This window comes from Homo sapiens, chromosome 19 (assembly GCF_000001405.40).
Source record: "Homo sapiens chromosome 19, GRCh38.p14 Primary Assembly".
NCBI lineage: Eukaryota > Metazoa > Chordata > Mammalia > Primates > Hominidae > Homo > Homo sapiens.
In genome coordinates, this window is record NC_000019.10 from 54,768,278 (window position 1) to 54,792,315 (window position 24,038).

Here is a 24,038-nt window from a genome sequence, read left to right on the forward strand (position 1 = left end):
TAAATCAAAAATATTCAGAGAAAGTATCCACAGAGTTACAAAAAGCAGAACTGTGTTGAATGGACACAAATGAAGCTGTGTGTAGGCTGCATCAGGAATTATAAGTAATCTAGAGATGATTTCATGTATACAGGAGGATGTGCATAGGTTATTTGCAAACTCTGTGCCATTTCATATAAGAGGCTTGAGCATCTACAGATTTTGGTATCTGAGTGGAGATCTCGAAACCAATCACCCACGAATAGTGAAGGATGACCGTATATGACTTTTATTTCTCAAATTTAAATATAAATCATAAAAAATGTACAACTAGATAAAAACTAAGAAGTGTTTTTATAGTGTGAGTTAGATTTATTTTTTCCTAGGTATAACCCATTGGTTTAATATTATTTATTGAGAAGACATTCTATGCCACCTTAAACCACACGGCAGCCTTTGTCAACTCTAAAGGGACTGTGTGTACACGGATGTACTTTAGACACTGTTTCTGCTAAGGGGCTCTCTGTGTCCACACTCTTGATGATGCTGCACTTTATGTAGCCTTATAGAACCCTTTAAATTTAGTAGCCAGAGCTCTCTAATTTGTTATTATAGGCTATTTGCTTTTTTTTCTTGAGGCGGAGTCTTGCTCTGTCGCCCAGGCTGGACTGCAGTGACACAATCTCAGCTCACTGCAACTTCTGCCTCCCAGGTTCAAGCGATTCTCATGCCTCAGCCTCTTGAGTAGCTGGCGTTACAGGTGCCTGCCACCAGGCACGGCTAATTTTTGGATTTTTAGCAGAGACACGGTTTCACTATATTGGCCAGGCTGCTCTCAAACTCCTTATCTCAGTTGATCCGCCCACCTCGGCTTCCCAACGTGCTGGGGAAACTTGATTTTCTATAGCATTATGTTACTGGATATTTCTGTAAAATTTAAAATGAGGGAGGGAGAGAGACAGACGGAAAACAAACTCCAGAGTTGGGACTCTGGAATCTTGGGTCATGAGACAAATTTTAGATTAAACTACAAAACTCCAGAATTTACAGGTGGGGTTTTTACTGATAAAGTACAATTCTAAGATTGTAAATAATTGCATAATCCTTCCCTGGGAATTTAAATCATTTTAACTGGTTCTGCTGTAATACTAGAAATACAAGCATGAAAAATTCTAATGGTTTATTAGTGACAATGACTCTGAAAACATTAATAATACCTATTAGATATTTTGCATATTACACAGGAAGAAGAGTTTGAATCTCAGATAAAAACAATAGAAATACATGAAAAGTCTTTCATGTTAGCACAGATTTTAGGCATCTCGTGTTCGGGAGGTTGGATCTCAGACGTGTTTTGAGTTGGTCATAGTGAAGGACACTAGGTGTCAAATTCTAGCGAGAACAATTTCCAGGAAGCCGTGTTCCGCTCTTGAGCGAGCACCCACTGGGCCTCATGCAAGGTAGAAAGAGCCTGCGTACGTCACCCTCCCATGATGTGGTCAACATGTAAACTGCATGGGCAGGGCGCCAAATAACATCCTGTGCGCTGCTGAGCTGAGCTCGGTCGCGGCTGCCTGTCTGCTCCGGCAGCACCATGTCGCTCTTGGTCGTCAGCATGGCGTGTGTTGGTGAGTCCTGGAAAGCAATAGAGGGAGGGAGTGAGGGGATGGAGATCTGGGCCCAGAGGTGGAGATATAGGCCTGGAGGTGGAGTTATGGGCCTGGAGTGGAGATCTGGGCCTGGAGTGGATATATGGGCCTAGAGATGGAGTGATGGGCCTAGAAGTGGAGATCTGGGCCCAGAGGTCGAGATATAGGCCTGGAGGTGGAGTGATGGGACTGTAGTGGAGATCTGGGCCTGGAGTGGAGATAGGAACCTGGAGGGGAGATAGGAACCTGGAGGGGAGATATGGGCCTGGAGGTGGAGATATGGGCCTGGAGTGGAGTCATGGGCCTGGAGGTGGAGTTATGGGCCTGCAGTAGAGATATGGGCCTGAAGTGGAGACATGGGCCTGGAGTGGAGATATGGGCCAGGAGTGGAGATATGGGCCTAGAGGTCGATATCTGGGCCTGGAGTGGAGATATGGGCCAGGAGTGGAGATATGGGCCTAGAGGTCGATATCTGGGCCTGGAGAGGAGATATGTGCCTAGGATGGAGATACGGGCCTGGGTGTGGAGATATGGGACTGGAGAGGATATATGGGCCTGGAGTGGAGATATGGGACTGGAGAGGAGATATGGACCTGGAGTGGAGATAAGGGCCTGGATTGGAGATATGGGCCCAGGGTGGAGATCTGAGCCTGGATTGGAGATATGGGCCTGGATTGGCGATATGGGCTTAGGGTGGAAATATCGGCCTGGAGTGGAGATATGGGCCTGGAGTGGAGATATGGGCTTGAGGTGGGGATATGGACCTGGAGGCTGGGTCTCTGCACAGCCGACAGCCCTGTTCTTGGGTGCAGGTAGGCACTGAGGGTGAGTTTACCTTCAGCCCAGGAAGGGCCTGGCTACCAAGACTCACAGCCCAGTGGGGGCAGCAAGGGTGCCCTGGTTTGCCTGCAGATGGGTCATCCATCATGATCTTTCTTTCCAGGGTTCTTCTTGCTGCAGGGGGCCTGGCCACATGAGGGTGAGTCCTTCTCCCAACCTTCGGGTGTCATCTCCCCACATAAGAGGATTTTCCTGAAATGGGAGGGAAGTCCTGTCAGGGAGTCTCTCATAAACTAGGAAGAAGGGACCCTGGGGTGCTGGGCCCACATTTCTGACCTTGCCTCCCTGGCCTTTCATTCCCTTGGCAGAGTCAAGTTCTGTGGGGACCAGGGTTAGACTACGGTGCTCAAAGCTGGGGTGTGTGGTGGGGAAGTGGTAGGAACAGCAGATCCTCTGAGGACAAAGGTGTTACTCACACACTTCAGCGTTTCCATGACGGTAGGGGCTGCAGTGTGGCTGCTGTCATTCTACCAGAAGAGGTGGGAAAACCACAGCCATGGCCCTGACATTCCAATCCTCTGATGGGGACTCAGTTGTTTATTTTCGTTCAGGCATCGGCTGATATTCCATTCTCAAAGGACATGCCCTCCACCCCATGTCTACCCTGTGTTGTTTTATGTGAGTAATCTTACAGTATTAAAATCTAGTAGGAGTCTCTTACTCAGCACTTGCTCAAAGTTCTCAGCTGACACTTTTGTTGTAGGGAGACACCTTGTGTTTGCGGGATGGGTCCTTCCTTTAGCCCTGGGCACCAAGGTGTGATAGCAGCCATAGAAACTTGGAAAGCGAGGAGAATCTTCAGAGCACAGGGAGGGAGGGGCGGCTCCACATCCTCCTCTCTAAGGCGGTGCCTCCTTCTCCCCACGGTGGTCAGGACAAGCCCTTGCTGTCTGCCTGGCCAAGCCCTGTGGTGCCTCCAGGACATGTGATTCTTCAGTGTCATTCTTATCTTGGGTTTAACAACTTCAGTCTGTAAAAGGAAGATGGGGTGCCTGTCCCTGAGCTCTACAACATAATATTCTGGAACAGCCTTTTCATGGGCCCTGTGACCCCAGCACACGCAGGGACCTATACATGTCGGGGTTCACAACCACACTACCCCAGTGGGTGGTCGGCACCCAGCAACCCCCTGGAGATCACGGTCACAGGTCAGAGGGCTCCTGTCTGGGATTCTCCTTGTCCCACCTCCTGAATCCCAGAGCTCCTGGTGGGCGTGTCCTTGCGGGTCCCATCATGCAAGTCCTGACTGTATTTGGGGTAAAGGGGGATTGAATACAGGGAAATGGGTGCTGTGGTGGGAAGAATAATTGTCCCCAGTGATGACTACATTCTAATCCCTGGAGTCTGTGACTATTTATGATATAGGGGAAGGGACTGAAGGAGAAGATGGAGCTCAGGTTGTTGATGAGTTGACCTTGAGATGGGGAGACAGCCTGGACTGTCCTGATGGGCTCAGTGTAGTCACAGGGGTCCACATGAAAGGAGGAGGAAGAGGGGAGTGGGGATTACAGCAGCATAATGGGAGTCTCCATCAGCTTTGAAGGTGGAGGAAGTCCAGGAGCCATGAATGCAGGTGGCCTATAGAGGCTGGAAAAGTCAAGGAACTGATTCTCCTGAGTCTCCAGAGGGAACGAAGCCCTGCAGGTGCCTTGATTTTACCCACGACAAACAGGGTCCGATTTCTGTCTCCAGAATTGGAAGGGGTTAGTGTGCTCTCTCCTGGTGCCATGCTTCTGATAATTTTCTACAGCAGCAACAGGAAACCAACACTGGAACCCAGGTCAAGGACAAGTTAAGAAACAACACAAGGATAGCCAGGCATGGTGGCAGGTGCATGTAATCCTAGCGACTTGGGAGGCTGAGGGCAGGAGAATCACTTGAACCCAGGAGACAGAGGTTGCAGTGAGCCTAGACCACACCACTTCACTCCAGCCTGGGCAAAGGAGTGAGACTCTGTCGCCAAAATTAATTAATTAATTAAAGAAACCAAACAAGGAGAAGGTTGGCTACACTGAGATCAGCAAGGCTCAGATGATGATGCCACCACCAGGCTCCATCCACATAGGGAGGGGTTGATACTCCTCCAACCAGCACCAGGAGCCAGCCTATGGAAGCTGGCACTGGCATGGCAAGAGTGGCTCCCAGTCCCTACCAGGAACAGGGTGTGTGGCCACTGGTGCCTGCCTTACTGATCAGTTCATACCTCCTGCCAAGGATTCCAATTCGTCCAAAAGAGATTGAACCAGGCTGCTAAGAGCCTGGATGTGCAGCCTATCCTGGTTCCTCTTCCACCCCCACATAGACAGCAGGAAAGACATTAGTTCGAAATAGATACAACAGCCCAAGAGATGAGGCTGAGCCCAGCGGCAAGGGAATCAGAGGCTACTAGAGACAGAGGGACAGAGAAGAGTGAGGGAGACAGATGGAAGGACCTGCACCAGGAGTTATGGGCACAGAAAAGAACATGAAGACACAGAGAGGAAGGAGAGAGATAAGACACCAGGAAGGGGAAGCCTGACTCAATCCAGGTGCCATGGATGGGATGATAAAGAGAGACACCTTCTAAACTCACAACCTCTCTTCCTAGGAGTCCACAGAAAACCTTCCCTCCTGGCCCACCCAGGTCGCCTGGTGAAATCAGAAGAGACAGTCATCCTGCAGTGTTGGTCAGATGTCATGTTTGAACACTTCCTTCTGCACAGAGAGGGGATGTTTAACGACACTTTGCGCCTCATTGGAGAACACCATGATGGGGTCTCCAAGGCCAACTTCTCCATCAGTCGCATGACGCAAGACCTGGCAGGGACCTACAGATGCTACGGTTCTGTTACTCACTCCCCCTATCAGGTGTCAGCTCCCAGTGACCCTCTGGACATCGTGATCATAGGTGAGAGTGTCCAGACTTTCTTCTCATTGTCATTGGGATGCAGAGTGAATGATCCAGGAATTGGAGACCCAGGTGGCTGTAAGGAAGATGAGCTTGGTATTCTTATGGAGAGAGACTGACTTGGTGAGGTCTGTGCCAACAGAGACAGAGAAACAGGAGACACAAGTAGAGACCAGGTGTCATAACAGAGAACAGACACAGGGGCCATACCGGGAGTTAGAAAAGACAGAAAGAGTTAAAGGAGACACACAGACAGACATGTCCCAGAGAGAGGTGTCCCTCCATGCTGACTTTGCTCAGAGACCTGGCACAGGTTAGAAGTTTCATTTCTGTTTTACCTCCACAAAGTGTTCTCTACCAGGAGAACCCAAGGACACCCATATTTCTGACCTGAGTTGGGCCCTGTGGCCTCAGGCCTTGTGGCACCTACAGATGCCATGTTTATTCTGACACCTCTGCCTTCCATGTAATGGAGAGTAATCGTCCCAGGATATCATGGCCCCACAACACCAACCCCTGTATGCTGTGTGAACTTGTAGTCTCCAGACTGGATTCTGAGGCTCATATTCCAAATAAGCCCACTTATGAGAGGATCAGTGAGAGGCACAGAGAGAAATCAGGGACACCAAAAAGCAAAGACATAAACACACAGAGAATGAGCCAGAGGAAGGAGATTGAGAGACTCACAGACACATAAAGAGAGAGAAAAGAGGGCAGAGGAGTGGTGAGAATGATGGAAGGGAGCAGAGAAAAGCACTAAAATTAGACTCCTGAGGGAGAGGCACAAGGACATTGAAAGATGGAGATGTGGGGATGAATTGCAGAGATTCCAAAGAGAACTAGAGAGACCGAGAGGCAGAGCAAGACAGATGATAGATGGATAGATATAGATAGATGATAAATAGGTAGATGATAGATAATAGGTTATAGATACATAGATGATGATTGATTGATTCATTAATAGATGAGACATAGAGATGATGATGATGAAGACAGATAGATAGATAATACATAGAGATACAGAGGCAGACATAGAGAAATCATAGAGAGAGAGAGATGATACATAGATATAGATAATAGATGATTGATGGATAGATAGACAATTGATGGATAAATAGATGATATATAGATATAGATGACAGGTAGAGAATTTGTAGATAGGCACCGAATAGATAAATAGATAGATCGATAGATAATAGATAGAAATATGCAGAAAGTTATGAACAGGACACAAAGTGAGAAACTCAGAATTAAAAAAAGTAACATCAAGTCAACCAATCCAAGGAGAGTCAGAGAGAATAAAACAATCCAAAAAGAGAAAACATATCTAGAGGTGGGGAAGTGAGGTCAGAGACCTAGAGAGACAGAGAAGGTGGAAGGAGGAAATAGACATGAAGAGCGATGGGGTAGAGGGTGAGAGAGAGAGAGAGAGAGCATTAGGTCATAGAACAGGGGAGTGAGTTCTCAGCTCAGGTGAAGGGAGCTGTGACAAAGAAGATCCTCCCTGAGGAAACTGCCTCTTCTCCTTCCAGGTCTATATGAGAAACCTTCTCTCTCAGCCCAGCTGGGCCCCACGGTTCTGGCAGGAGAGAATGTGACCTTGTCCTGCAGCTCCCGGAGCTCCTATGACATGTACCATCTATCCAGGGAAGGGGAGGCCCATGAACGTAGGCTCCCTGCAGGGCCCAAGGTCAACGGAACATTCCAGGCTGACTTTCCTCTGGGCCCTGCCACCCACGGAGGGACCTACAGATGCTTCGGCTCTTTCCATGACTCTCCATACGAGTGGTCAAAGTCAAGTGACCCACTGCTTGTTTCTGTCACAGGTGAGGAAAGCCCATGGCTGTCCCATGTCCTATGATCCTAGAGCCTTAGCTGAGGAGCTTCCTGCTGAGGATGGAGAGAAGCATGGACAGATGCAGAGAGAAGACGCAGCCTCGGTGTGAGGGAGGGATCAGGGCACAGGATGGCCGACAGGGCACCTCCAAACCCTCCTACATGGCCTGCATGGAGGCCCACGGCCAGGGCTCCAGGCACCCAGGCAGATGGAGAAAGCGGTCAGGAGAGACCCAGAGGAGGGAGACTGGGCTCAGTTTGGGGAGATCAGAGGTTCCCTCAGCCCCTCAACCTTACCCATTTCCCAGAAGCCCATCCTGGCCTCTCACCCACACAGAGATGTCATCACCAGCAACCCCTACACCCTTTACTTTTCTTTGAAGAAATATTTATTGAGGATAAATATACCTATATAGCTTACCACTTTTAACATTTTTTTTTGAGGTGGAGTCTAGCTCTGTCCCCTATGATGGAGTGCAGTGGCACAATCTCAGCTCACTGCAACCTCCGCCTCCTGGGTTCAAGCGATTCTCCTGCCTCAGCCACCTGAGTAGCTAGTGCTACAGGCACGCACCACCACGCCAGGCTACTTTTTGTATTTTTAGTAGAGAGGTGGTTTCACCATGTTGGTCGAGCTGGTCTCGAACTCCTGACCACGTGATCCACCCGCATCAGCCTCCCAAAGTGCTGGGATTACAGGCATGGGCCACCAGGCCCAGCCACATTTACCATTTTTAAGTGTAAAGTCTAGTGGTCATAAATACATTTTTATATATATATATATATACATTTTTTTTACCCTCCACCCTTTTCTTCCTGTCCTCCAGTAGCCACCATTCTACTCTCTACCTTCATGAGATCCACCTTTTAGCTCCTGTATATGGGTGAGAAATGGGAATCTTTTTAATGACCTCCAGTTCCATCCATGTGGCTGCAAATGACAGGATGTTATTCTTTCTATGGATGAGTAGTCTCCACTGTGCGTATGTACTACATTCTCTCTATCCATTCACCCACTGATGGGCAGGTAGGTTGACTCCTCATCTTGGCTACTGTGAACAGTGCTGCACCAATCATACGAGTGCAGATATCACTTCGATATGTTGATTTACTTTCCTTTGGATATAAACCCAGTAGTGAAATTGCTGGATACTATGAAAGTTCTCTTTTTTTTTTTTTTTTCTTTTTTGAGAAAGAGTTTCCCTCCTTAGCCCAAGCTGGAGTCAAAGTGGTGCAACCTTGGCTCATTGCAACCTCCGCCTCCTGGGTTCAAATGATTTTCCTGCCTCAGCCTCCCTAGTAGCTGGGATTACAGGTGCACACCACCATGCCTGGCTACTTTTTGGTTTTTTTAGTATAGATGCGGTTTCCCCATGTTGGCTGGGCTGCTCTCAAACTCATGACCTCAACTGAGGTGCCCGCCTCAGTCTCCCAAAGTGCCGGGATTACAGGCATGATCCACCTCACCCAACCTCTTTTTAGTTCTTTAAAGGACTTCCATACTTTTCTCCGTAATGGCTGTACTAATTTACACTCCTCCCAACAGGGTACCAGGGTTCTCCTTTCTCTACCACCTTGCCAGCATTTCTTTTGCCTGTCTTGCAGCTAAAAGCCATTTTATTTTATTTCATTTTATTTTGAGATGGAGTTTTGCTCTTCTCACCCAGGCTGGAGTGCAGTGGCGCTATCTCGGCTCACCACAACCTCCACCTCCCAGGTTCAAGCGATTCTCCTGCCTCAGCCTCCCGAGTAGCTGGAATTACAGGCACACGCCACCACGCCCTACTAATTTTTGTATTTTTAGTAGAGACAGCGTTTCTCTATGTGGGTCAGACTGGTCTCAAACTCCCAACCTTATGAGATTCACCCACCTCAGGTTCTCAAAGTTCTAGGATGACACAAGTGAGCCACCTCACCCGGCCTAAAAGCCATTTTAATGGGGTGAGATGAAAACTCACTTTGATTTTAATTTGCGTTTCTCTGATGATGAGTGATACTGAGCACTTTTTCGTATGTGGGGAAATTTCATGTCTTTTGCTCCTTTTTCAATTAAATCATTTGTTTTATTGAGTTGTTTGAGCTTCTTATATTTCTAGTTATTAATCCCATCTCAGATGCATAGTTTGCACATATTTGCTCCCAATCTGTGGGTTGTCTCTTCACTTTGTTGGTTTATTTTTAGCAGTGCTGAAGTTGCTTAGTTTGAGGTAATCCCAATGGTCTATTTTTGCTTCGATTACTTGTGTTTTGAAGGTTTAAAACAAAATGTCTTCCTTCAGACAAACGTCCTGGAGCATTTCCCCAATATTTTGTTCTACGTGTTTCATAGGTTCAGGCCTTAGACTCACATCTTTAATCCATTTTCATTTGATTTTTGTGTATGGTGACAGGTAGAGTTGCAGTTTCATTCCTCTGCATGTAGATGTCCAGGTTTCCCTGCACTGTTTATTGAAAAGACTGTCCTTTCCTGATTGTGAGTTCTTGGCATCTTTGTCAAAGTCCATTGGATGGGCTGGGCTTGGTGGCTAACACCTGCAATTTCAGCACTTTGGGAGCCCGAGGTGGGTGGATCACCTGAGGCCAGGAGTTCAAGATTAGTCTGGCCAACGTGATGAAACATCGTCTCCACTAAAAATATAAAAATTAGCTGAGCATGGTGGTCAGCACCTGTAATACCACTACTCAGGAATTTGAGGCAAGAGAATGATTGAACCCAGGAGGCTGAGGTTGCAGTGAACCGAGATTGCACCTCTGCACTCCAGCCTGAGTGACAGAGCAAGACTCCATCTCAAAAGAAAAAATAAAAAACCATTGGATGTAAATGCATGGAATATATCTGTGTTATTCATTCTGCTCCGTTGTTCTATGTGCCTTTCTTTATGCCAATGTCATGCTATTTTGCTTACTACAGCTCTGTAACATATTTTGAGATCAGGTAGTGTGATGCTCCTGTTTTCTCTTTATATCTTGAAGTCTCAAGACAGTGGGTGTCATATAAAAAAATTATGGAAAAAAGGATCCCAGGACTCCCAGGGCTCAATATTAGATAAGAGAGTGTTGGCCATGAACCATCCTCAAAGATTTCCACTGAGTGGAGGACAGACACCCTCATTTCCTCACCTCTCTCCTGTCTCATGTTCTAGGAAACCCTTCAAATAGTTGGCCTTCACCCACTGAACCAAGCTCCAAAACCGGTGAGTACAGAACCCTCTTATATCCGCTTTTGGAACCCTGGGGAGGTGGGAACCTTGGATTCAGGCGTTGACTCAGCATCTCACAGCTCTGACATTGTACACTTGTCTTCCACCATCTCCGAACTCCAGATACTCCTACAGCGAAAGGGATCTGGGCCCAACACAGGGCTCAGTGAAATCTCTTCATCTCTCATTTTATGGAGCTGAGACCTCCTACAAGCTAGAAGAATGATTGCCAATCTGACATCCTTCTCAGGAAAAATGCAATGTTTGTTCTACCTGCATTCCTAACTGGAGGATAAATTCCTGGAGACTTGAGAGAGGGAAGGGAAGGGAACATCTGATGAGGGCAAGGTGTTTTAGAGAAGTTCCACTTGCCAAGGAATGAGCTCCTGTAGGTCATGAAGCAACCCTGGCTGACTCCGCAGAGAAAGAGCCTTGCCGTAACAGAGAACAGAGCTCATGCACGCACACTTCGACTCACTGACTCATTCAGCCACGGCCCCATGCTCAGGCTGTGCAGTGTGGAACCTTTTCCTATTGTTGCCATAACAAATTTCCACAAGATTCGTGGGTGAAAACAAAACGGTTTTTTAATTATCTTACAGTGCTGTAGCTCAAAGTAGGAAGTGCATCTTACTGGGCTAAAATCAAGGTGACAGCAAGGCTGCCTTCCCTCTGAGGATTCCAGGCACGAATCTGCTTCTCACTTGTCCCAGCTTCTAAAGGCTCCCAGTTCCTTGGCTCCTGGTCCCCTTCCTCCTTCCTCAAAGCCCACAAAGACTGGTCACATCTCACATGGCATCACTCAGTGCCTTCTTCCTTACCACACCTCTTTCTCTGAGTGCTGCTCTCCCTTCTTCCTCATCTTTTGAAAACTTGGGGATTCTATTGGGTTCACCAAGATGAAAATCCCTCATAATCTCCTGGAAATCATCCAGGATACCCTTGTTTTAAGTTCAGCTGATTAGCAACCATAATTCCATCTGCAATCTTCATTCCTCCTTTCCATGTAAAATAACATATTCACAAGCTATGGAGGCTAGGACAGGGACATTTTGGGGTGGGACAGCATTCTCCTGCCTTCCACAAACAGTGAACAAGATGCATTTGGCCTCTGCCCTTGGGACACTGATATTGCAGATGGTTAAATGGGAGGGCAGAAAATGAACGCACAAGTGGATCTATAAATGAATGGTCCATTGGGAAGCATCTGTGCATGAAATCTATTTTTTGTTTGTTCTTTTGTTTATTGAGACAGAGTCGCCCTCTGTCTTCCAGGCTACAGTGCAGTGTCACGATCTTGGCTCACTGCAACCTGCGTCTCCTGGATTCAAGTGATTCTCCTGCCTCCGCCTCTCGAGTAGCTGGGATTACAGGCAACTGCCACCGTGCCCGGCTAATTCTTTTTGTATATTTTTTGTAGAGAGGATGTTTCACCACGTTGGCCAAGCTTGTCTGAAACTCCCAACCTCAAGTGATCCGACCGTCTCAGCATGCCAAAGTAATGGGACTACAGGCGTGAGCCACTGTGCCCAGCCAGAATTCAAAATCAATAATAGATAATGCTGAGTGTATGATTTCAGGTGACAAAGAAGGTCTCACTATTCAGATATTTGTGACATTAATGAAAAACACGGAATGAACCCCTGAAAGATTGGCGGAAGGATTTTGCACACACAGCTGTCAGCCATGAAGGCACAAAGGTGAAAACAATCTGATGTGGAAGGAAGAGGCTCTGACTCAAATGCTGGGAATGAGGTGGGGAGAATGACAAGACGACTGTAGAGAGACGGAGAGCACACTGGGTACACAGGAAACTAAGGAGCAACAAGGAGTGTGTGTTTGACACTCACAGCCATTGGATTCACCTCGGGGTAACCAGGAATCCCTACATGATTAATATGACTGACATGAAAATAAGGGAGGCCCAGGTGCATAACTGGAATCTAGGAGACCGTGGAAAAGGCAATTGCCGCCCCACTGGTGAAATGTGGTGCTGATTTAGACACTAAATGAATGAAGTAGATGGATATAAGATATGTTTGTGAGGTAGAATCATTGACTGGAAAGGCTTACTGGGTTTGATTTTCCTACTTGTTTAATCCTCGCTTAATTAATTTCTTTCTGAGATTTATTCATCCTACACATAAATCAATACCTGGCAAAGGAGTGACAGATATATGAGTGGTGGTGGAAATGAAGAGACTTATTATAGCATAATATACAAGTCTGTGAACAGTGGCTCACGCCTGTAACCTAGCACTGCAGGAGGCCAAGGTGGGTGGATTCCATGAAGTCAGGAGTTCCAGACCAGCCTGGCCAACGTGGTGAAACCCTATCTCTACTAAAAATACAAAAATTAGCCGAGCACGATGGTGCATCCCTGTAATCCCAGCTCCTATTCTGGAGGATGAAGCAGGAGAATGACTTCAACCCAGTAGGTGGAGGTTGCAGTGAGTGGAGATTGCATCACTGCACTCCAGCCTGGGGGACACAAGGAGACTCTATCTCAAAAAATAAAAATAAGAAATACATAAATATAATAAAACACACACGAATGACAAAGGCACCTGAATTCCAATCATCGTTTTTCTATTTCTCTATAATTACTTCTTTGATCCTTTATCTTATCCATTAGGCAATGAGCCTAAAACCTCTTCCCTATTTGGCTTTCTGTGAGCATGAGATCATATAGAAAATGTGAAAGCCCGCTGAATCCTCCAGCACAGATCCTGGAATAGAGAAAGTGCTCTGGTCATCACAAAAAAAACTTGCCCACTCACCCAAATCCCCCACCTCACCCCTACTTCCAATCACCTGTGGAGATTCAGATAGACCATGGGGAGGTAAACATTAACACTCCTTGAAGTGAGTCCAGATCTTGGAATCAGAGATCAGCGACAGCACTAGCTCCTGCTCCCCTTTCCTACTAATTCACAGGAGGACAGGTGGTTTTGAAGCAATAGATGGCCGAGGGGGTGGTCCTTCCCCCAGCCTCTCGGGTAGAACAGCAGCCTAATATGTGTCTCCCGAGATCACAAAGAGCAGCAGGTTTCACACGGGCTTCAACACTATTTCCTGGCCGTTTGACATAAGAGAATTCTATTTCGCTTTTTTTATCTTGATTTCACTTTTGTTTTCTTTCCTTGGAGAATGCAAGTTGTTTGATTCAAGAATGCTGTGGATGTAGAAACCCTAAAGCACATTCGCTGTGAATCAATCCCAGTCCAGTCTTCCCAGAGAAGACTCTAAACACCTCCTGGACTGCACCTGGGCCTATGCCAATTCCTATCACTCACCGTCACTCCAGGGAGACAGAACACACAGAGAATACGTTACATAGGCAGGTTCATTACTAACAGATAAGCAGCGAGTGACAACAGAAACCTATATTTCAATGTGACCCAGTCCCTCAAGGCTCAGAAAAGCTCCTCGGGACATATGGAGTCACCCCATTTGCAGTGTAGCTGCGGGAAGCCAGAAAGCAGCCCAGCCTGGGTTTTGTACCCTGGAGCCACAGGAAGCACTCAGCTAAAGCACTGCATGACGTCCTCCAGGAAGAACAGGAAGACAGCCCAGGGTGTTCTGAGACGTTCCTCCTGATCTCAGGAAGTTGCTGTCTTAGGCCATTTTTGTTGCTCTAAAGGAACACTTGAGCCTCGGTAACTTCTAAAGAAAAGAGATTGGTTTGCCTCACCGTTCTGCAGGCTGTACTGGAAGCATGGCACCAGCATCTATTTCTCGTGACGGCCTCAGGCTGCTCCCACTCTGGCAGAAGGGAAGGAGGGTCTGTCTGTGCAGAGACCACAGAGATCACACGGCAAGAGAGGGAGCAAGGGGGAGGGGGAGTGATGGAGCTTCCAAGCTCTTTTTAACAACCAGCTCTCCGGGAACTAATAGAGGGGGAACTTGCTAACCCCGTCTCCTTGGGACAGCATTGATGTGTTCATGATGGATCCACCTCCATGACCCAAACACCTCTCAAGAGGCCCAACCTCCCACAGTGGGGGTGAAATTTCAATGTGAGGTTTGAAGGGGTCAAACATCTCAACTAAAGTAGTCGTATCCTCAGCACGTTCTATGGTTACTATGAGAGCTATAACAGAAAAAGCAGGAGAAAGCTGGGTCTCCTGCCATCTGGGTGCTTGTCCTAAAGAGGTGTTTTATGTGGTTACCTGTCAATCAAGAAATGCGAGACAATTCATAAAGAGGAACTGCTAAGATTAGCTTCTTATTGGTGTCTCATCTTCTTCCAGGTAACCCCCGACACCTGCACATTCTGATTGGGACCTCAGTGGTCATCATCCTCTTCATCCTCCTCTTCTTTCTCCTTCATCGCTGGTGCTCCAACAAAAAAAGTAAGTCTCACGAAGCAGAGGCCAGAGAGCTCAGGGCCATGTGGGGAAGCAGGATGGGAGCACTCAGGTGTGTGTTCCTCACAAACAGGATGGTCCCTGGCCCAAGGCAGCAGCCACAGAGGCAGGACTTTCTAGAGAGGGCACCAGACTCCCTGTCCCTGCCTTCAACTCACAGACCGTTGCCTGATTCTGAACTGTATCCCCATGTCCCCTGCAGCCACTCACATCCAGGAGAAGGTTCCATGACAGGCAGAAAGTGGGAGACAGAATCAATGGGATGGGAACTCAGAGCTATTCATGGGATGGGTCCTTGAGCTCAGAGAGATAGAATGTCTGAGTCTGCTGTTGGCAACTGAGGGACCTCAGCCACCTATGGTCTCCCCCTGTATGTTGGTATCTGCTTATGAAATGAGGACCCAGAAGTGCCCTCCGAGCTGTTTTGTTGACTTCCATCTTCTACAGATGCTGCGGTAATGGACCAAGAGTCTGCAGGAAACAGAACAGCGAATAGCGAGGTAGGTACTCCTCGGCCCGGGCTCGTGGCTACTGTTATTCCCAAAGAGTCCTGGAAAATGTGAGCACCCTCCCTCACTCAGCATTTCCCTCTCTCCAGGACTCTGATGAACAAGACCCTCAGGAGGTGACATACACACAGTTGAATCACTGCGTTTTCACACAGAGAAAAATCACTCGCCCTTCTCAGAGGCCCAAGACACCCCCAACAGATATCATCGTGTACACGGAACTTCCAAATGCTGAGTCCAGATCCAAAGTTGTCTCCTGCCCATGAGCACCACAGTCAGGCCTTGAGGGCGTCTTCTAGGGAGACAACAGCCCTGTCTCAAAACCGGGTTGCCAGCTCCCATGTACCAGCAGCTGGAATCTGAAGGCGTGAGTCTGCATCTTAGGGCATCGATCTTCCTCACACCACAAATCTGAATGTGCCTCTCTCTTGCTTACAAATGTCTAAGGTCCCCACTGCCTGCTGGAGAAAAAACACACTCCTTTGCTTAACCCACAGTTCTCCATTTCACTTGACCCCTGCCCACCTCTCCAACCTAACTGGCTTACTTCCTAGTCTACTTGAGGCTGCAATCACACTGAGGAACTCACAATTCCAAACATACAAGAGGCTCCCTCTTAACGCAGCACTTAGACACGTGTTGTTCCACCTTCCCTCATGCTGTTCCACCTCCCCTCAGACTAGCTTTCAGTCTTCTGTCAGCAGTAAAACTTATATATTTTTTAAAATAACTTCAATGTAGTTTTCCATCCTTCAAATAAACATGTCTGCCCCCATGGTTTCGGTAATGGGACTCTTTTCTTGCCTAAGGCTTCCGGTGTTATCAGTACCATGTCCATATAATCCCATCTGTTCCCCACTGAGTTCTCATCCCCGGACTCTGAGTTTCTGGAAGCAGGGTGGAGCCTCATTTGTCTCTGGGACTCCAATTTCCATCCAAAGATGTAGCACATAGGAGGTTCCAAGGATCACGAATCATATGAACAAGTGATACTCTTACTCTCTGCAGACCTGGAAAGCTGGCAGAGTCATTCCACAATGAAACATTTGTAGAATCATAGGCCTTGTTAGTCTCATCTCCATGGGGACACATATCAACACATCATCTTTCATAATATAAATATACGGTCACTCCTCCATATCTGCGGGGTTTACAGGTGTTTATTGAACCAAGTATAAATCAAAAATATTGAGAGAAAGTATCCACAGAGTTTCAAAAAGCATAACTATGTTGAATGGACACAAATGAAGCTGTGTGTAGGCTGTATCAGGAATTATAAGTAATCTAGAGATGATTTCATGTATACAGGAGGATGTGCATAGGTTATTTGCAAACGCTGTGCCATTTCATATAAGAGGCTTGAGCATCTACAGATTTTGGTATCTGAGTGGAGATCTCAAAACCAATCACCCACGAATAGTGAAGGATGACCGTATATGACTTTTATTTCTCAAATTTAAATATAAATCATAAAAAATGTACAACTAGATAAAAACTAAGAAGTGTTTTTATAGTGTGAGTTAGATTTATTTTTTCCTAGGTGTAACCAATTGGTTTAATATTATTTATTGAGAAGACATTCTATGCCACCTTAAACCACACGGCAGCCTTTGTCAACTCTAAAGGGACTGTGTGTACATGGATGTATTTTAGACACTGTTTCTGCTAAGGGGCTCTCTGTGTCCACACTCTTGATGATGCTGCACTTTATGTAGCCTTATAGAACCCTTTAAATTTAGTAGCCAGAGCCCTCTAATTTGTTATTATAGGCTGTTTGCTTTTTTTTTCTTGAGGCGGAGTCTTGCTCTGTCGCCCAGGCTGGACTGCAGTGGCACAATCTCAGCTCACTGCAACCTCCGCCTCCCAGGTTCAAGCGATTCTCGTGCCTCAGCCTCTTGAGTAGCTGGCGTTACAGGTGCCTGCCACCAGGCACGGCTAATTTTTGGATTTTTAACAGAGACACGGTTTCACTATATTGGCCAGGCTGCTCTCAAACTCCTTATCTCAGTTGATCCGCCCACCTCGGCTTCCCAACGTGCTGGGGAAAACTTGATTTTCTATAGCATTATGTTACTGGATATTTCTGTAAAATTTAAAACGAGGGAGGGAGAGAGACAGACAGAGAGCAAACTCCAGAGTTGGGACTCTGGAATCTTGGGTCATGAGACAAATTTTAGATTAAACTACAAAACTCCAGAATTTACAGGTGTGGTTTTTGCTGATAAAGTACAATTCTAAGATTGTAAATAATTGCATAATCCTTCCCTGGGAATTTAAATCATTTTAGCTGGTTCTGCTGTAATACTAGAAATACAAGCATGAAAAATTCTAATGGTTTATTAGTCACAATGACTCCGAAAACATTAATAATACCTATTAGATACTTTGCATATTACACAGGAAGAAGAGTTTGAATCTCAGATAAAAACAAAAAAAATACATGAAAAGTCTTTCATGTTAGCACAGATTTTAGGCATCTCGTGTTCGGATAAAAATACATGAAAAGTCTTTCACGTTAGCACAGATTTTAGGCATCTTGTGTTCGGGAGGTTGGATCTGAGACGTGTTGTGAGTTGGTCATAGTGAAGGACGTGAGGTGCCAATTCTAGTGAGAACAATTTCCAGGAAGCCGTGTTCCGCTCTTGAGCAAGCATCCACTGGGCCTCATGCAAGGTAGAAAGAGCCTGCGTACGTCACCCTCCCATGATGTAGTCAACATGTAAGCTGCATGGGCAGGGCGCCAAATAACATCCTGTGCGCTGCTGAGCTGAGCTGGGGCGCGGCCGCCTGTCTGCACCGGCAGCACCATGTCGCTCATGGTCGTCAGCATGGCGTGTGTTGGTGAGTCCTGGAAAGGAATAGAGGGAGGGAGTGCCACATCCTCCTCTCTAAGGTGGCGCCTCCTTCTCCCCCAGGTGGTCAGGACAAGCCCTTCCTCTCTGCCTGGCCCAGCCCTGTGGTGTCTGAAGGAGAACATGTGGCTCTTCAGTGTCGCTCTCGTCTTGGGTTTAACGAATTCAGTCTGTCCAAAGAAGACGGGATGCCTGTCCCTGAGCTCTACAACAGAGTATTCCGAAACACCGTTTTCATAGGCCCTGTGACCCCAGCACATGCAGGGACCTACAGATGTCGGGGTTCACACCCACACTTCCTCACTGGGTGGTCAGCACCCAGCAACCCCCTGGTGATCATGGTCACAGGTCAGAGGGCTCCTGTCTGGGATTCTCCTTGTCCCACCTCCTGAGTCCCAGAGCTTCTGGTGGGAGTGTCCACCAGCGTCCCATCATCCAGACCCTAACTGTATTTGGGGTAAAAGGGGATTGAATACAGGGAAATGGGTGCTGTGGTGGAAAGAATAATTGTCCCCAATGATGACTGCATTCTAATCCCTGCAGTCTGTGACTATTTATGTTATAGGGGAAGGCACTGAAGGGGAAGATGGAGCTCAGGTTGTTGAGTTGACCTTGAGATGGGGAGACAGCCTGGACTGTCCTGCTGGGCTCAGTGTAATCACAAGGGTGCACATGAGAGGAGAAGGAAGAGGGGAGTGGCGATTAGAGCAGTGCAATGGAAGTCTCCATCAGCTTTGAAGGTGGAGGAAGGCCATGAGCCATGAATGCAGGTGGCCTATAGAGGCTGGAAAAGTCAAGGAACTGATTCTCCTGGGTCTCCAGAGGGAACGCAGCCCTGCAGATGCCTTGATTTTAGCCCTCAAAAAACAGGGTCCGATTTCTGTCTCCAGAAACGGAAGGGGTCAGTGTGCTCTCTCCTGCTGCCATGCTTCTGATAATTTTCCACAGCACCAACAGGAAACCAACACTGGAACCCAGGTCAAGGACAAGATAAGAAAGGACACAAGGATAGCCGGGCGTGGTGGCAGGTGCATGTAATCCTAGCAACTCAGGAGGCTGAGGGCAGGAGAATCACTTGAACCCAGGAGACAGAGGTTGCAGTGAGCCTAGACCACACCACTTCACTCCAGCCTGGGTGAAGGAGTGAGACTCTGACTCCAAAATTAATTAATTAATTAAAGAAACCAAACAAAGAGAAGGTTGGCTACACCGAGATCAGCAAGGGTGGGATGATGATGCCACCACCAGGCTCCATCCACATAGGGAGGGGTTGATACTCCTCAAACCAGCACCAGAAGCCAGCCTATGGAAGCTGGCACCATGGAGAAGGCACAGGCATGGCAAGAGTGGCTCCCAGTCCCCACCAGGAACAGGGTGTGTGGACACTGGTGCCTGCCTTACTGATCAGTTCATACCTTCTGCCAAGGATTCCAATTCGTCCAAAAGAGATTGAACCAGTCTGCTAAGAGCCTGGACGTGCAGCCTATCCTGGTTCCTCTTCCACCCCCACATAGAAGCAGGAAAGACATTAGTTCGAAATAGATACAACAGCCCAAGAGATGAGGCTGAGCCCAGCGGCAAGGGAATCAGGAGCTACTAGAGACAGAGGGACAGAGAAGAGGGAGGGAGACAGATGGAAGGACCTGTACCAGGAGTTATGGGCACAGAAAAGAACATGAAGACACAGAGAGGAAGGAGAGAGATAAGACACCAGCGAGGGGAAGCCTCACTCATTCTAGGTGCCATGGATGGGATGATAAAGAGAGATGCCTTCTAAAGTCACAACCTCTCTTCCTAGGAGTCCACAGAAAACCTTCCCTCCTGGCCCACCCAGGTCCCCTGGTGAAATCAGAAGAGACAGTCATCCTGCAATGTTGGTCAGATGTCATGTTTGAGCACTTCCTTCTGCACAGAGAGGGGAAGTTTAATGACACTTTGCGCCTCACTGGAGAGCTCCATGATGGGGTCTCCAAGGCCAACTTCTCCATCGGTCGCATGACGCAAGACCTTGCAGGGACCTACAGATGCTACGGTTCTGTTCCTCATTCCCCCTATCAGTTGTCAGCTCCCAGTGACCCTCTGGACATCGTGATTACAGGTGAGAGTGTCTGGACATTATTCTCATTGTCACTGGGACACAGAGTGAATGATCCACGACTTGGAGGCCCAGGTGGTTATAAGGAAGATGAGCTTGGTATTCTTATGGAGAGAGACTAACTTGGTGAGGTCTGTACCAACAGAGACAGAGAAACAGGAGACACAAGTACAGACCAGGTGTCATAACAGAGGACAGACACAGGGGCCATACAGGGAGTTAGAAAAGACAGAAAGAGTTAAAGGAGACACAGACAGACATGTGCCAGAGAGAGGTGTCCTTCCATGCTGACTTTGCTCAGAGACCTGGCACAGGTTAGAAGTTTCATTTCTGTTTTACTTCCACAAAGTGTTCTCTACCAGAAGAACCCAAGGACACCCATATTTCTGGCCTGAGTTGGGCCCTGTGGCCTCAGGCCTTCTGGCACCTACAGATGCCGTGTTTATTCTGACACCTCTGCCTTCCATGCAATGGAGAGTAATCGTCCCAGGATATCATGGCCCCAGAACATCAACCCCTGTATACTGTGTGAACTTGCGGTCCCCAGACTGGATTCTGAGGCTCACATTCCAAATAACCCCACATATGAGAGGATCACTGAGAGACACAGAGAGAAATCAGGGACACCAAAAAGCAAAGACATAAACACACAGAGAATGAGCCAGAGGAAGGAGATTGAGAGACTCACAGACACATAAAGAGGGAGAAAAGAGGGCAGAGAAGTGGAGAGAACAATGGAAGGGAACAGAGAAAAGCACTAAAATTAGAGTCCTGAGGGAGAGACACAAGGACATAGAAAGATGGAGATGTGGGGATGAATTGCAGAGATTCCAAAGAGAACTAGAGAGACCGAGAGGCAGAGCAAGACAGATGATAGATGGATAGATATAGATAGATGATAAATAGGTAGATGATAGATAATAGGTTATAGATACATAGATGATGATTGATTCATTCATTGATTAATCGATGATACATAGAGATGATGAAGATGAAGATAGATAGATAATACATAGAGATAGAGAGGCAGACAAAGAGAAATCATAGAGAGAGAGAGACGATACATAGATATAGATAATAGATGATTTTTGGATAGACAATTGATAGATAAATAGATTATATATAGATATAGATGACAGGTAGAGAATTTGTAGATAGGCACCAAATAGATAAATAGATATATCGATAGATAATAGATAGAAATATGCAGAAAGTTATGAACAGGACACAAAGTGAGAAACTCAGAATTTAAAAAAAGTAACATCAAGTCAACTAGTCCAAGGAGAGTCAGAGAGAATAAAACAATCCAAAAAGGGAAAACATATCTAGAGGTGAGAAAGTGAGGTCAGAGACCTAGAGAGACAGAGAAGGTGGAAAGAGGAAATAGACATAAAGAGAGATGGTGTGGAGGGTGAGACAGAGAGAGAGAGCATTAGGCCATAGAGCAGGGGAGTGAGTTCTCAGCTCAGGTGGGAGGGGAGTTGTGACAAGGAAGAACCTCCCTGAGGAAACTGCCTCTTCTCCTTCCAGGTCTATGTGGGAAACCTTCTCTCTCAGCCCAGCCGCGCCCCATGGTTAAGGCAGGAGAGAGCGTGACCTTGTCCTGCAGCTCCCGGAGCTCCTATGACATCTACCATCTATCAAGGGAGGGGGAGGCTCATGAACTTAGGTTCCCTGCAGTGCCCAAGGTCAATGGAACCTTCCAGGCCAACTTTCCTCTGGGCCCTGCCACCCACGGAGGGACCTACAGATGCTTCGGCTCTTTCCGTGACTCTCCCTACGAGTGGTCAGACCTTAGTGACCCACTGCTTGTTTCTGTCACAGGTGAGGAAACCAGTCTGTTCCCCAAATAGTGGGACTCAGATGGACTACAATGGCCACATTCAGGGGAGCCTCAGATGGAGGGGGTGGCCATGGGGGTGTCAGCCAGAGATGCTGGACAGAAGAGACACAAAGCAAACATACAGAAAGAGGCATAGACAGACAGACAGAGCGAGGCAGACAGATCACATTAGGGTTTGGGGTGGTAACTGCAACCCTACCTGAAGCTTGCAGATAGAGCACAGGCCACATAAACCACTTCCCAGTCTTTGTACAGAAGCCCACCTGGGACACATGTAAACAGCATCAATGCTGACTCAGGAGCATGAAAGGCCGGGCTCAGATTGGAAAGACTAGAGGTAGCATTGGCCGCCCGCCATTGCCCATTTCCAGAAGCCCCCACCTCTCACCAAAGAGTGATTTCCACATGGGGGGCACAGATGCAACCATCGTTGGGGGAGCCCCAATGTCTCTTGATGGGAGGCATTTTCCACCCTAGATGTTTTTTGCTCTCTCCACACCTTGGAGACTCAGTGGGGGAGTCTTCTCTGGGGACTCGGGGAGGGCCTCCCTGGGACTCGCAGGATTTCCAAGCTAGATGACAACATGACAGGTGGAAACAGGCCCATTCCTTCGCCAGGGGCCCCAAGCTCCATCCCAGGAGATGAGAAGAGGCTCTTCTCATTGGTCAGTGGATCCCTGAGGGGACAGAGGCTCAGCACTGAAGGCTGAGAAGGATCTGCCACTTCGCTCAGTGGCCTCAAGCCAGACATCTTCCCTACAGACTTGCAGTGATTCTCCATCAGCATTTAGGGCTGTGGCCACCAACCTGGGTGTTGGTCTGTAGGAACTTTTCATTTCTGACCTTCCATAACTGAGTTCTCTTCCTAAATGTGGAATGCCTTGTACTCCATGTTACTCTCTCCCCAGAAAGAATGTGTGGCTTGTCTGCTCTCCAGCCCTGTCATGGAGATTGATAATCCTTAGGGAGCAAGAGGAGAGGGAAAGAACAAAGTATGAGACCACCTAGGTGCTACTGGTTGAGGTTCCATTTGCCAGTGAAGGGACTTCACTCAGCCGAGGGGGCAACTCAGGGAAGTCAGCCGAGGGAGGGCATTAGAGTAGAGAGAACTGAGCTCACCCAGTAAATGACCCCTTCACTAACTCATTCATCTAATATTTATTTCACACCTACCATCAGTTCTCTCTGTTTCACGGCCAGGAGTAGACAGCACGGCCAAGCTCCTGGGTTCATGATGCTCACATTGCTGTGGGGTGGGAGAGAGAGGCAGAACATGAATGAATGAATGAGAGAATGAATGAATGAGTGAATGATGGAATGAGTGAATGAATGAATGAATGAATGTATGAATTAGTGAGTGAATCCTTAGCACTTGGTGAAAGTGCCATGCACAGAATGAAATGAATGAACGTGGAACGTTGTCATTTGGAGTGTACAGGAGGGAACGTCTCACTGAGACCTCATCAGAGAGATCACATTTAAACTCCGATCTTAGAGACAAGAGGGAGTGAGCCCTGGGGAGTGTGTTGAAAGGAACTTTCATGGACTTAGGACATTGGGGATGACCCTAATGTGAGAATGAGCTTGGTGTGTTCCAAGAAGTCCATGGACCTGCCATATGGTGAGGGCTGGTCAGAATCCAGAGAGATTTCTAAATGCCCTTGTGCTTGTAAGGAAAGTGAGTCCTGTGGTTGGGAGTGGACTTATACCTTGGGTCAGGTCCAGCAATTATCTTTCTAAATCCTCTCTAATTGCCTGAACCACTTCTATCAACAACTGAGAAAAGAGGAGTGTTAAACACCCCACTGTGGCCGTGGATTTGCCTACCTGTCCATTTATTTCCGCGACTCTTCCTCCATGTATATTTGCAGGAATATTACTGGGAGTGGTTAAGTGTAAACTGATTATATATTCCTGGTAAATTTAAAATGCTATAAATTTACCTGCTTTTTTCCTACATTTTATGCTTAATGTTTTC

The 24,038-nt window shown here is 47.3% G+C and overlaps 1 protein-coding gene, 1 long non-coding RNA gene and 1 pseudogene across 3 annotated transcripts; 2 read left to right on the forward strand and 1 right to left on the reverse strand.

The window, feature by feature from the left end:
* Nucleotides 1,145–2,787, reverse strand: LOC101928804 (uncharacterized). 2 transcript variants are annotated; one of them, NR_110738.1, is made up of 3 exons: nucleotides 2,745–2,787; nucleotides 2,464–2,660; nucleotides 1,145–1,614 (listed from the first exon to the last, which is right to left on the reverse strand). It is a non-coding gene; the product is annotated as an uncharacterized LOC101928804 (long non-coding RNA). The 2 variants fall into 2 exon arrangements; NR_110737.1 differs by having other exon boundaries at nucleotides 2,393–2,660.
* On the forward strand, nucleotides 1,516–16,045 carry KIR2DL1 (killer cell immunoglobulin like receptor, two Ig domains and long cytoplasmic tail 1). Its single transcript, NM_014218.3, has 8 exons — nucleotides 1,516–1,607; nucleotides 2,572–2,607; nucleotides 5,056–5,355; nucleotides 6,888–7,181; nucleotides 10,335–10,385; nucleotides 14,645–14,746; nucleotides 15,209–15,261; nucleotides 15,360–16,045. The coding sequence occupies exons 1-8, from the start codon at nucleotides 1,574–1,576 to the stop codon at nucleotides 15,534–15,536; spliced, it is 1,047 nt and encodes a 348-aa protein (NP_055033.2). The 5' UTR covers nucleotides 1,516–1,573; the 3' UTR covers nucleotides 15,537–16,045.
* KIR3DP1 (killer cell immunoglobulin like receptor, three Ig domains pseudogene 1) lies at nucleotides 18,085–22,141 on the forward strand (annotated as a pseudogene).

What these genes read in the sequence shown, in the direction of transcription:
- KIR2DL1 (NM_014218.3), top strand. Translation starts at nt 1,574, where the DNA reads ATGTCGCTCTTGGTCGTCAGCATGGCGTGTGTTG. An exon ending in GGGGGCCTGGCCACATGAGG is followed by an intron (nt 2,608 to 5,055) that starts GTGAGTCCTTCT and finishes CTCTCTTCCTAG; the next exon opens with GAGTCCACAGAAAACCTTCC. An exon ending in TGAACCAAGCTCCAAAACCG is followed by an intron (nt 10,386 to 14,644) that starts GTGAGTACAGAA and finishes ATCTTCTTCCAG; the next exon opens with GTAACCCCCGACACCTGCAC.